General features: G+C 56.8%; 1 protein-coding gene across 6 annotated transcripts in view, besides 1 other annotated feature; it reads right to left on the reverse strand.

The window, feature by feature from the left end:
* Positions 2,799-2,858: a silencer, noted in NCBI's record as "silent region_10682". NCBI's record gives its function as "represses an Ori minimal core promoter by ATAC-STARR-seq in GM12878 lymphoblastoid cells {active_cell/tissue: GM12878}" and the evidence as "EXISTENCE:reporter gene assay evidence [ECO:0000049][PMID:35858748]".
* GRIK5 (glutamate ionotropic receptor kainate type subunit 5) overlaps positions 3,872-12,396 on the reverse strand; it is a 71,883-nt gene continuing 63,358 nt past the window's right edge. For 3 of the 6 annotated variants that reach the window (NM_001301030.2, XM_011526865.2, XM_047438705.1), the window contains 5 exons: positions 12,193-12,358; positions 11,271-11,496; positions 9,103-9,231; positions 8,880-9,001; positions 7,334-8,094 (listed from right to left, as the gene is read on the reverse strand). In NM_001301030.2, coding sequence (NP_001287959.1) covers positions 7,663-8,094; positions 8,880-9,001; positions 9,103-9,231; positions 11,271-11,496; positions 12,193-12,358 — 1,075 coding nt within the window. In that variant the 3' untranslated portion in view covers positions 7,334-7,662. Of the gene's footprint in view, positions 4,848-7,333; positions 8,095-8,879; positions 9,002-9,102; positions 9,232-11,270; positions 11,497-12,192; positions 12,359-12,396 lie in introns of those variants that run through there. The other 3 variants (NM_002088.5, XM_011526862.3, XR_935810.3) reach the window with 2 other exon arrangements.

Genomic DNA, 12,396 nt, shown 5'->3' on the forward strand with positions numbered 1-12,396 from the left:
GACCCCCTCAATATGGAGTAGGGCCTCCAAGAAGGGGCGCTCAGGGAAAGAAAACCCCGGAAATCCTCTCATTGTGGGGGTGTGCCATCACCGAGAAGGGTACGCTGGGGGAGGGGGGGCGGGTAGTGACACGGGGTGGGAGGGAAGCCCGGTGAATCACTGCAGTGTGGCACCAGGGACCCTGGAGACGGCGGGGGGTAGTGCTGTTCAGGGAGAGGGCCCTGCAGGAGGGGAAGTTGGAAGGGAACACAAGAGAGCAAGAAAGGCCTTGCAATTGAGGAGGGGTGCTGGCGGGAGGAGCCCTGAGATTCCCTCACTGTGGGTGCCCCCCCACTACGCCTGAGCTATCCAATGAGCCACAACCACACAGGGTACACGGGAGACACAACACGGTGGAGGATGGCCCCAGGAGGCCCAGAAAATGCCCAGCGTCACAGTTACACAGGACCATCACACTGATAGCCCAGATGCTGGGGACACGCACACACCACAGGGTTGCACTCATATTCCACCATAGGCCAGCATGTACCCTCACACACACAACACCACCCCACCACACACAGAGTCTCAAACATAGAGTGAAACACACATAGGGCACACACCTTACACACCCATCACACCACAAGAGACTCATAATCACAGCCACAAAGTGCTGTGCGGACTAACACCGACACTCAGAAAATCGCAGACTCACACATCACACACTCTACCACACCTGACCTCCCACCATCTCACATAGAAACCCACATCGTGCAACCCATAAACCAACACACACCTGCACTCAGCACCATCACACACGCACAGGCCTCACACTGCCTCCAGACACACTACATCAGCCTTTGTGGACATCGTTGCATGATCCCACGATGTCGCACACATCCTCACACACACTGCTCCCCAGTGTGTTTGGGCATGAGCAACGGCCCACAGTGCAAAGTTGCCAATGCTAACTGTGAATGACAGACAAAAAGGTGCACACACTTACACATAGCACAATAATTCAAACACAAGTCACGCGACACCCACACACCTCCCACACATACACACATCACGTTATTGCAGCACTATCGCAGACATCTTTGTTGCACCTCCAAACACACCCCAACGCCCTCACCCACATGACACACAGAGCTCGTCACAGTATATGTACACACACAGATGCACAGCCGGCACCCACACCCCAGGCCTGCTGCCGACACACAACACCCCATCAGCCACCCCACTGGAGCCCAAGAAGTTGAGGCCTCCCCACTCACTCCAACACCACTTTGTTCTATGAGGAACACCCCAGACTCTCCCTGGGGATGGTAGAAGGGGAAGAGAGAGAGAGAGAGACAGAGAGCATTTGACCTTGTAGTTTTCTCAGAATGTGGGTATCCTCTCCACCTATGGGATAGGAGATGTGGGGGACGCAGGCAAGGGACAGGGAGTGAGCTTGGTGTATGAGGGTGGGTGGGTGAAGGTCGAGGACCTGGTGCAGGGAAATGTGTGAAAGGCTGAAGGCCAGAGAGAGGCACAGAAACACAGAGATTCAGAGCCACAGCATATGGACAGAGACAAGGCCAGAGAGTGAATGGAGGCTTTCCCCAGTGCCCAGAGCCCCATCCCAATCCTGTCCTCTGACCCGTCCCCATCTTTCTCGCTGTCCTTTGTTGCCATGGTAACAGGGAGCTGCTTCTGCAGCAAAGGAGGTTGGGCCTGCAGACTGGGCTGTTGCCATGGAGACTGGGAAAGGGGGAGGAGCCACATCTTTTAACCCAGATGCCTCACCCCCAGACGCCCCCTCCCCAACTCTGCCCTCTTCCTAGGGGAGGGAGAGCCTATCAACATATCCTCCTTTCCTTCTCTTGACACCTTGGCCTAGAGGCATGGGCCTGGACCATGGAGAATGGGACTGGGGAGATGGGGAAGCCTGGGGAGGTGGGGGAGGCCTGGATTCCAGGAGATTCTAGGCTCTGTCTGCTCTTGCTCTCCAGCTGGGCCGGGGGAGGCCTTGAGCCCTTCCCATCCCACCTCAGACACAAGCTCACGTCCCCCCTCATGCACTCTCTCCTCAGGCACGAGCCTGATGAGACTGATGACTGTGCATCGTGCTCCTGGTGAGGCTCTGCAGAAGTAGGGGGGGCGGTGAGAAGGAAAGACCTGGGAAGGTCACAGGGATAAAGGGGAATAGGGGAGCTAGATGTGAGAGGCGGAAGGAGAGACACAGAGGGAGAAACAGGCAGCCCAGAACCAGAGAGAGGCGGATACAAACAGATTGAAAAAGACAGACAGAGATTGGCAGATGCAGAGATGAGAACACGGAGACAGAGCAACGGAAGAGTTCAGTGAAGGTGACAGAGACAGAGAGACGTAGACAGCCAGGCAGAGACAGGCTTGGTAAACCAGGGAGACTCAGAGATAAAGGCCAGGGGGAGACTGAGCAGAAACCTGGTAGGGGACCGGGGACTCAGAAATGGGGGAGACCCCAGAGGGAATTGGCCTCGAGGCATTGGGACAGAGAAGGGGGAGAAACCAGAAATGTCTGTAATCATGTTCTAGTCACCTCGACAAAGAGTCCGACCCAAGGGCAGAGACATTGATTGGAGTGTGTAAGAGACGTGGAGATAGAGATGCGAGACAACAGAGAGAGGCTGGTGCCTGCCCCCACACCTGTCCGAGGGGCACGCAACCAGGGTCTGAGACGCAGAAGGGGACGGGTGGCGACGGGGGGCGCTGTGTGCGGGGAGGGGTCTCCCAGGGTGTGGCCGGCCTGCCAGGACTGCGCTGGGCAGGCGGGCCCTGGAGGGAAGTCGGGCGCTCTGGGCTCAGGCTGGCCAACTGGGTGCTGAACGGACAGCTCCCAAGCCCCGGGCCGCCGCCCAGGAACGGGCGCAGCCTCGCTCTCTCTGGGACCTTTCCAGTCAGGCTTTCCTTTCCGTTCCAGTCCCCTCCAGGTTCCATTTAGTTTTTTATGGCTTCCTGTCTCTCACCCCAACTCCGGGTGTATCTTACCCTCCCGCTTCACCTCTGGTCTCAGCCCTCTATTCTTTCTCCAGTCTTCTCTCACCTCACCCAGCCTCTCTCCCTGTCTCGCCGGCTCTGTGTCCTCTAGCTCTCTCTCCCCATCCCCCTCCCGCCCACTCTGCCCCCTTCGTTGTCTCTCCCCATCTCTGTCTCTCGCCATCCCTCCATCTCTCCCTTTCTGCTCGGCCTCGTTTTGGCTCTTGCTGTGTGACCTTCACTCGTCCTTCCTCAGCTGCAGTTTCCACAGAAACCTCCGGCGGGGCAGGGAGGGCGGGGACAGAAGGCGGACCCACCTTTCTCCTGCGCCATCAGCCCTTCAGCCTCTCCCACCCCTGCCCGCCCACCCACCCCCCAGTCTACTGGGATTCCTCACTTCCTCTCTTGGGGGTTGGGGAGGTACATTTTCAACAGAAACACGGGATCACAGCCACAGACAGTTGAAGATGGCCTCGCAGATGCGTGCACACACGATCACAACGTCACTGAATCACCCCGGCCCAGGCACACACTCGCCACCCCAGGCACGGCCACACTCAACAGCTCACTGGCCCTCCCCTCCCCCAGCCCCATCTGTTTTCTGTCTTTCTGTGTCTCCGCTTCCGGTGTCTCCGCGTCTCCAGATCCCTGCATCTCTCCATCTGTCTCAGGGTCTCTGTCGCAGCCTCCCTCTGTCCTGAGAGAAGGTCAGTGGAGAGGGGCCAGCTGCTGGGACCCGGGCTGGCCTGCAGCCTGTAGGCAGGGCTGAGGGTGGAGAGAGCATGGAAGTAACCATCGAGGCTCACTCTGATTCTCAGCAGGTGCCCCGGGGACCCAAGCCTCCAAAGCCCTCACACCCCCAGGAAATGAGAGACGGTATCCCCAGTTCTGGGGTTTTGTTCTTTTTTTTATTCCAACAGGGGCTGCGATGTGGCAAGGGGAGGGATGGGGGCCCAACTGACCCCCTCCCTGGGGGAGGTCTCATAGAAATTCCGAGGTTTCTCCCCCCAAAAAAGAGAGGAAGAGAAGAGTGGAGGGGCACCAGGGGACACCCATCTGTCCAGAGGCCCTCCCCACCTCCAGAAGCGTGGGGGGCTGCGTCAAGTCTTGGGGAGCCTGAGCAGTCCCAGAATGGGGTCCTCTCCGCTGACTGCTTTCCGCTTCCCAGAGCCGCCCCCGAAGTCCCCAGCCCCTGGAGTCCTCGGTTCCTGCGCCCTTCTCGCCCGCGGCACCCTCTCGCGAGTCCACTGGGGGGCGCAGGCGGGCTCCAGAGCCAGGCCTCGGACTTCGCGGGGAACCAAAGGCAAAATCGCGGCGTCCGGGGCGCCGGCGCACAAGTCCTGTCCCGCGCCCGCTGCGGGAGCGGAGACTGCTGGGGCCTGGGGCGGGCCCCGTCCCTTCGGTCAGTCCGGGCGCCCGCACAGCCCCGCCCGTGGTCACTCGTGCTCCGCCAGCTCCCGGGGGCCGGCGGGGCCAGGCCGCGGCCGGGGCGGGCTGGTGGCTTCGGCGGGGACGCCCAGGCCACGCGGAGGCGCGCCGGCCCCCGAGGCCCGCAGCGCCTGGATGCGCCGGCACTCCTGGCAGACGCGCACGTGGGTGCAGGGGGTGGGGGCGGCGGGTCGGGCTCCGCTGGGGGGCCCCGGGTCGTCCAGGAGGCGCTGCGGGCCCCCGTGCGCGCTGCCCGCATCCCCGCCCGCGCCGGCCGAGTAGAGCTTGCCGTTGCTGAGGCGCATCTCGCGGACCGCGCGCAGTGACAGCAGGGCCCGGCTCGGGCCGCCCGGGCGTCGGCGCCGGCGGGAACGCGACGTCTTGCGGCAAGAAACGGCGTGGCGCAGCTCCTGCAGCATCTCCTGGCACACCGACACCTGGGGGTGGCGCGGGCGGTCACCGTCCCGGCGCAGTCCGCCTCCCGCCTCCCCCAGCCCCTCTCCACATCCCACTCCTCCTCCTCCTTTCCTCGCCCGGGTCTTTCTTCCTTCTGCCCTCGCTTCCCTTCCCACTTCTCTTCCCTTTATCTCCCCCGTGTTTTCTGCCTCCCCTCTCCACCTCTCCCCACTTATCTTCAATGTCTCCATTCTACTCTGCGTTTGTTCCTGAATCTGCCCTTCACCTTCCACCTAAGCTCCTCTCTTTCCTCTGGTCTTTTCACTGTCTCTAAATTTTCTCCAGTTCTTCCTTCCTGATTTCCCATCTTCTGCCCCTCATCCATGCGTTCATTATTGCAAGGCATATTTACCTGTGGCCTGCTGTGTGCCCGGCACTGTTCTGAGCACTGGGGATATGGCAGAGAAGGAAACAGACAGAAGTCCCAGCCCTCGTGGAGGTTATGCTCAAGTGTGCAGAGACAGAAGATAACAGACATGTATGTAGTGTGTTAGGCGTGGTGAGTGCTTTGGAAAGAAAGAAAATCGGGAAGAGGCCTAAGGTGTATGGGTAGGGAGTGACGATGAATTCTGAGACAGGACAGTCAAGGAAGACCTCACTGAGAGAAGGATCCTTAAATAAAGACAGGGTGAGCCACTGGAGACCTGGGAAGCCAGCCTGCTGGACAGATAACCGGGCAGGGCCGAAATGCCCAGGTGGGAGTGACTTGGCACGTCTGAGGCACTGCAAGCAGGTCAGCATGGCTGGAGGGGGGCGTGCACAGGGAAGACAGAAAAATGAGGTCAAAGGAGCAGTGGCGGCCAGCTCTGGTAAGGCCCATAAACCACTGGAAGGATTTTTGGCTTTCATTCTGAAAATCAGAATGAGAGTCAGACGGGAATCACTGGGGAGCTTTAGGTAGAGGAGTGCTGTGTTTTCATAGGATCACTCTGTGTTGAGAACAGATTGTAGGGAGGCCAAGGCAAGAGCAGGGAGCTCATGGAGGAAGCTATGACAATAACCCGGGCAGGAGATAGGGATGGCTGGACCAGAGCGACCTGAGAAAGGTCTGGATTCTGGATATATTCTGAAGGTGGAGCCAATAGGATCTGCTAAGAGATCAGATACGGGGCATGGAAGAGAGAGAATAGTGAAAGAAAGCTCCAATATTTTGGCCCGAGCAACTGGAAGGACCAAATTGCCTCACAGGTGGGCAGAAGCCCAATGTTGGACACATCGCATCACGTGCACACCTATCAGATATCCAAGTGGAGATACCAAGTGTGGAGCTGAAGTTGCAGACCTTGGCTTCAGGGGAGACACATATTTGTGGGTTAAGGCAGGCAGCCTTCAAGATCCCACCTCCCGCGTCCACGCCCCTGTGTAATCCCCTCTGACACTGTGTCAGAGCTGGTCTGTGTGACCAACAGAATAAGTTTCAGCCATTGCACATTCTGCTTCCGCCTTGCTCTCTCTGATCACTCGCCCTGGGGGATCTCAGCTGCCATGGTGTGAGGACACTCAAGCAGTCCTTGGAGAGGTCCTTGTCTGAGGAACTGAGGCCTCCTGCCAACTGCCATGTGAGTGTATTCATCATGTTTTTTATTTTCTGTGTCTTAGGATGTTTTGACACTTTAAACATCTTGCAGGCTGGGGAGAGACTACCCCTCCCAGAACTAGCCAAGCCTTAGAGATAGCAGAGGGCTCAGCTGCCTTTCATGTGCAAACCAACCAATCTATACCCCCAACCTCCCCCTTTACCTAACTCTCACATACCAAGCCAATATTCTTCCTGACCTAAATCAACCCGGGGCCAGGTACCAGATAAGTAGGGACAGCCCCTATAGCCCAGAGTCCACTGACATTATCCAAACTGGTGAATCGTAAGCTGTTTCCCCTTCTCCTGGGAAATGTTAAAGAATAAAAATCATTTTTCTTTCTGTTTCTTTTTGAGACAGTCTCACTCTGTCACCCAGGCTGGAGGGCAGTGGTGCAATCTCGGCTCACTGCAACCTCCACCTCCCAGATTCAAGTAATTCTCCTGTCTCAGCCTCCTGAGTAGTTGGGACTACAGGTGTCCACCACCATATCTGGCTAATTTTTGTGTTTTCAGTAGAGACAGGGTTTCACCATGTTGGCCATGCTGGTCTTGAACTCCTGGCCTCATGTGATCTGCCCTCCTCAGCCTCCCAAAGTGCTTGGATTACAGGCGTGAGCCACCACACCTGGGCAAAAATCATCTTTCAATGAAATTGGTCTCCATGTTGTCACTTGGCCACCTCCAGAAACTAAAATCCCATGGGGACATTTGGGACAGTGAGCCATCTTAGAACGGAACCCTCCACCCTTTGTTGAGCCTTCAGACCACAGCAGTCTGGCCAAAAAACATGACTATGACCTCATCAGAGACCCATGGCAGCCAGAAACATCCAGCTAAGCTGCTCCGAGGCTCTGGACCCACAGAAACTGTGAACCAATGGAAGCTGGCTTTTTAAAAGCTGTTAAGGTCATTTGTTATGATAGCAATAGATAACTAACACAAGAATCACCAGCACATAGTGGGTCTTAAGAGCCATTTGGCTGGTGGGATCATTCAAGTAGTGGAGAAAGACCGAGAAGAGAAGCAGTCTAAGGACTGAGCCCTGGAGCCCCACAACAAACAGAGCCTGGGGAGAAAGAGAAACCCAACGAGGGAGCCTGGGAAGGAGTGACCGGAGAAGTGGGAGAAGGGGAAGAAGGGGCTTTGAGGATTGAGAGTGACTGGCTGTGCCGAAGCCCACTGCTACCTCATATACATGAGGCCTGAGACCGGGAATTTCAGACATGGAAGTTGCTGGTGACAAGAGTGGCTTCAGTGGAGTGGCAGGGACCGATGCCAGACTGGAGTGGGGGGCAAGAGGAAATGGGAGGAAAGAAGAAACTGGAAGCATCAGGGAGACCCCCCACTGCTGCCAAGGCTGTAAAGAGAAGGGAAGAAAGTGGGCGGTGGCTGGGAGGGAAAGTGAGGTCAGGAGAGGGTTTAAGACTGGAGAAATGACAGCATATTTGTACGTTGGTGGCCTGAATCCAATAAAGAGAGGACAACTGATGCTGCAGGAGGAAAGGACAGACTTGCCGGAGGGATGTCCTTGAGAAGGCAACCTGGACACGGGTGGAGGGCACCTTTACTAGCAGCATGGACGGCTCCTTCAGAGGAGTCCTTGGGCCAAGTGCAGAACACTGGCAGGCAGCTGGATGCAGAGCTGGGGTCTGGGGAGTAGATGTAAGGTCAGCCGCTGGATGTGAGGAGGGGGAGGAAGGGCTGGAGGCTGACAGAGAGAGGGGAAGCAGGGAACCAGCAGTCCAGGGGTGCAAGAGCACGAATGGGTCTGGAAATGCAGGGGTGTGGCTGGGCGGCCCCCAGGGACATGGAAGCAGCCCTCCTGAACACAGTGTGGGACCAGTCCAGGGCTGTGTCCTCTTCTGGTTCCCTCTGTCACCCAGGCTGGAGTGCAGTGGTGCAATCTCAGCTTACTGCAATCTCCACCTCCCGGGTTCAAGCGATCCTCCCATCTCAGCCTCCCGAGTAGCTGGGATTACAGGTGTGCACCACCATGCCCGGCTAATTTTTGTATTTTTAGTAGAGATGGGGTTTCACCATGTTGGCCAGGCTGATCTTGAACTCCTGACCTCAGGTGATCCGCCAGCCTCGGCCTCCCAAAGTGCTGGGATTACAGGTGTGAGCCACTGCACTTGGCCCTGTTTCTCTTCTTATTTCTTCTTGCTTTTCTGCCTCTGTGGCTCCCCACATCCTGTCCCTCACCTCCTCTCCCTGCATCCTCATTGCTCCCTGTGCCTACTTTCCCTCCTGTTCTTCCTCACGCGCTGATTCTCTGGCCCCATCAGCTCTCTTACTTCCCCACCTCCTGCATTCCTCTGCCCCCTTCTCGCGATCCCCACCACCCTCCAGGTATGGCTCCCAATGCCACAATCTTCACGCACCTCAGCCCCTGGGGGTCCCTGTTCCTGCCCACCCCCACCCCCAGCCTCCTCACCTCCTCGGACTCAGCTGACCTCCGTGTGGACCATATGAATTCCATGACCGCCACGAAGACAGCAATGATGAGGCCACAGATGAGCACGATAAAAATGCCACCAATGTTCTCCATGCCCAAACCTGGAGGGCGAAGGGAGTTGGGGGGCAAAGGGAGTTGGGGCTGTGTGGGAAGGGGGCTGGGAGGGGGCTATGGGAAGGGGACACCATACGCGGGAACTGACCTTTAGCTCGATGGTCCTCCTCCTTGGGGCACCGGCCCCCCTCCCACCACTTGCGCTTCAGGATCTCCAGCCGGTTGTTCTCCTGAAGCTGCAGGATGGCCAGTGTGATCTCATCCCGGAACGGGGAGCCTGGGCAGGCACACGAGGGGCTGGACCAGCCATCGGGCCCTGCAGCCCTGACCGCCCCAAACCCCAAACTGTGCCCTCACCACGGCCTTCCCCCGCCTCTACCACGTGCCCAGGGTCTTCCCTGCAGCCTCTCCTCACCCCCAGCCCAGTCTCCTCTCAACACAGCAGCCAGAGAGACAGTGTTAGGAAGAGTCAGAGGCCATACCTTTCCTGTGCTCAGGACTCTCCATGGCTTCCTGTTGCAAGCTCCTCCCCTCGGCCACTCTCAGACACCCTCACCCCCACGGCTCTCAGCTCCAGCCTCATCAGCCTCCTGGCTGCTCCCCAAATTCATCACACACAGTCCTGTCTTAGGACCTTTGCCTCTGCCTGGAATGTCCCTCTCCGCACTTCATCCAGGTCTCTGCCCACATGCTGGCTCCCCAGGGAGTCTATTCTGATGACTTTATTTAAAATGGCACCAAGCGCCCCACTCCCTGTCAGTGTCTTCCCTTTAATTTACTTTGGAGCAGCTGTCACCACCTAACACTGTATTATATGGCTATGTGTTTATCATCTTTCGTCTGCATCCAGTGCGGGACTTGGCATGCAGTTGGACACCAGACGAATCCCCATCCACACCTCTCCCTGGACCACCTCTCCTCCCCAACCTCACATCCTGCCCTTAAGCCATCCTTGGGCTTCAACACCCCACACACCCTATTCTATACTTATTTCTTCATTGACTAAGATACTTCCCGACCAACTACCACAGAACCAGAGACACGGGCAGATGAAAGTGATTAATATCTACCAGGCACCAACTGTGTGCCAGACCCTGGGTTTATTCAGGTCTTATGATGATCCTGTGGGACAGGTATCCCACCTGAGGCAAGTGTTTCTGAATGACGAAAGTGATACACTTGCTTAAGACTGTGCACTGAGTCAGGGAGGAAACTGAGATTTCTTCCTTTCTTTTGACAGAATCTCACTTGGTTACCCAGGCTGGCATACAGTGGCATGATCATTGTTCACTGCCACCTCCACTTCCTGGGCTCAAGCGATCCTCCTACTTCAGCCTGTAGCTGAGACTACAGGTGCATACCACACCTGGCTAATTTTTTAATTTTTTGTAAAGACAGGGTCTTGCTATATTGCCCAAGCTGGTCTCAAAACTCTTAGGTTCAAGTGATCCTTCCGGCTTGGCCTCCCAAAGCACTGGAATCATAGGCATAAACCACAGTGGCCAGCCGGAACTGGGATTTGAATCCAGGTCGGTGTGACTCCTGAGCCTGTCCTCCAAGCACCAAGCTACACTGCCTCCCTGGCACCGACTCACCTACAAAGCTGCTAAGATCTGGGGCAATTTGCTATGCAGTAATAGATAACTAATACAGGTGTCATCAGTACATAAATGATTTTAAAAGCCAAAATGCCAAAATTTGGTGACAATTTGGTCGTGAGTTCCACCACTGAGTCCTGGAAAAACATGTCCTGGGCCATGCGAGGTGGCTCATACCTGTAATCCCAACACTTTGGGAGGCCAAGGCGGGCGACAGAGCAAGACTCCGTCTCAAAAAAAAAAAAAAAAAAAACAAAACACCAAACTTGTCCTGAAATATAAATAGGCACATACAAGTCTCCCTACCAGATCATTCCATCCTTCCCATCCATCTTACAAGCATTTTTCAAGCACCTGCTCTGAGCCAGGCTATAGGATTTTTCCAAGAAATAGGAAACAAGACCAGGTCCTCACCCCCACAGGGCCCTTGGGGGAAGACAGCAAGCCCCACCACCCACATATACTGAATTGTATACACAGTCTCACTGAATTCTCCCAACAGCTCTGGGAGGGCTGGATTGCTGCTAGGCCTGGTTTTGCAGGTTGGGGGTACAGAGGCTCAGGACGGTGATGTCGCCTGCCCAAGACCATACAGCCAGGAGGCCACATGCAACACACCCAGCCTGCCTCGGGGGTGCCTGGCCCGGTCCTGGGCCTGCTCACAGGTGGTTTTGGATGCCCACGGCCCTGCTGTGTTCCACACCGTGCTGTGCCGTACCCAGCGGCATGCCAATGCCGTAGCCCTTGGTGTCGAGGAGTCCCCCGATCTGGGTGAGGTTGCAGTTGAGGCGCCGGTGGTATTCGTTCATGGTGGACTCGAGCAGGAAGGCGTAGCGGGAGTTGAGGACGCGGGCAATGCCCTCTTCTGTGCTCTTGACGAACACGCTGGGCTGCTTCGACTGCATGTAGTTCCACATGCGCTGGTACGTTTGGTACCGTGAATTCTGGGCAGGAGGATCACAAGGGGAAGATGGGAGGGTCTTTCCAGCCGCTTCCTTTCCCCGAGCCCTTCCCATCCTCCAGGAAGTCTCCCTCAACCCAGGAGAATGCAAGGTGATCAAAGGAAGACAGAGCCAAAGGTAGAGGAGAGAGAGGAGATGGACAAACTGTCCAGGCCAGGTCCAAGTCATCCCCACAGCCACTGTGCCCACCACCCACCTGGGGGGCCCGGTGAGTGCACCTCCACCTCCTTCCCCTTAACCCTCCAGCCGGTGGCCGCTGCCCAACTCAGGCCTCCTTTAGACCACTAGGACCTCCCTGCCAAGCTTGCTTTCCTCTTCTTTCCTTCCCACCACCCCAAAATACAAAAGATCAAGCACTTTTCACCTTGAAGGGCCTTCCCTTCTCTCTGTCAGCCCATATTCCTGGTCCCGACCCTTCCAGCAGCCTCCTTGATCCCATTTGGCCCATATGACATTGACATTTGATACCACATATGCCTCCCTGCCCTCATTCCCCAGTTCCCTAGCCAGCCAGCTGCGAGCCCCATGACAGCACATGTGTGTTTTCTGCTCCCCAGCCTCCAGGCTGTCACTGACAATCAGTCCCTCTGACCCAGGAGACCCTGCCCAGACCCATCCTGAGCTGCTTTGCATGGCAGGGATCCCAACACCACGCCTGAGAGGTTCTGGTGGCCCCACCTGGAAGAAGGTCATGGTGGAGCCGGCGTGGATGGTGCCATACTCGATGTTGGTCTGATCTGCCAGGTCATCGGCCGACTCCACAGGCACCTCCATGCGCTGCACGGTGAGGAAGGCGGCCAGGTTGGCCGTGTAGGAGGAGATGATGATCAAGGTGAAGGCCCACCTGAAGGGTGGGAGGGGTGAGTCACGGGCTGGAGTCAC

The sequence above is a fragment of the Homo sapiens genome, chromosome 19 (assembly GCF_000001405.40).
Source record: "Homo sapiens chromosome 19, GRCh38.p14 Primary Assembly".
Classification (NCBI taxonomy): Eukaryota; Metazoa; Chordata; class Mammalia; order Primates; family Hominidae; genus Homo; species Homo sapiens.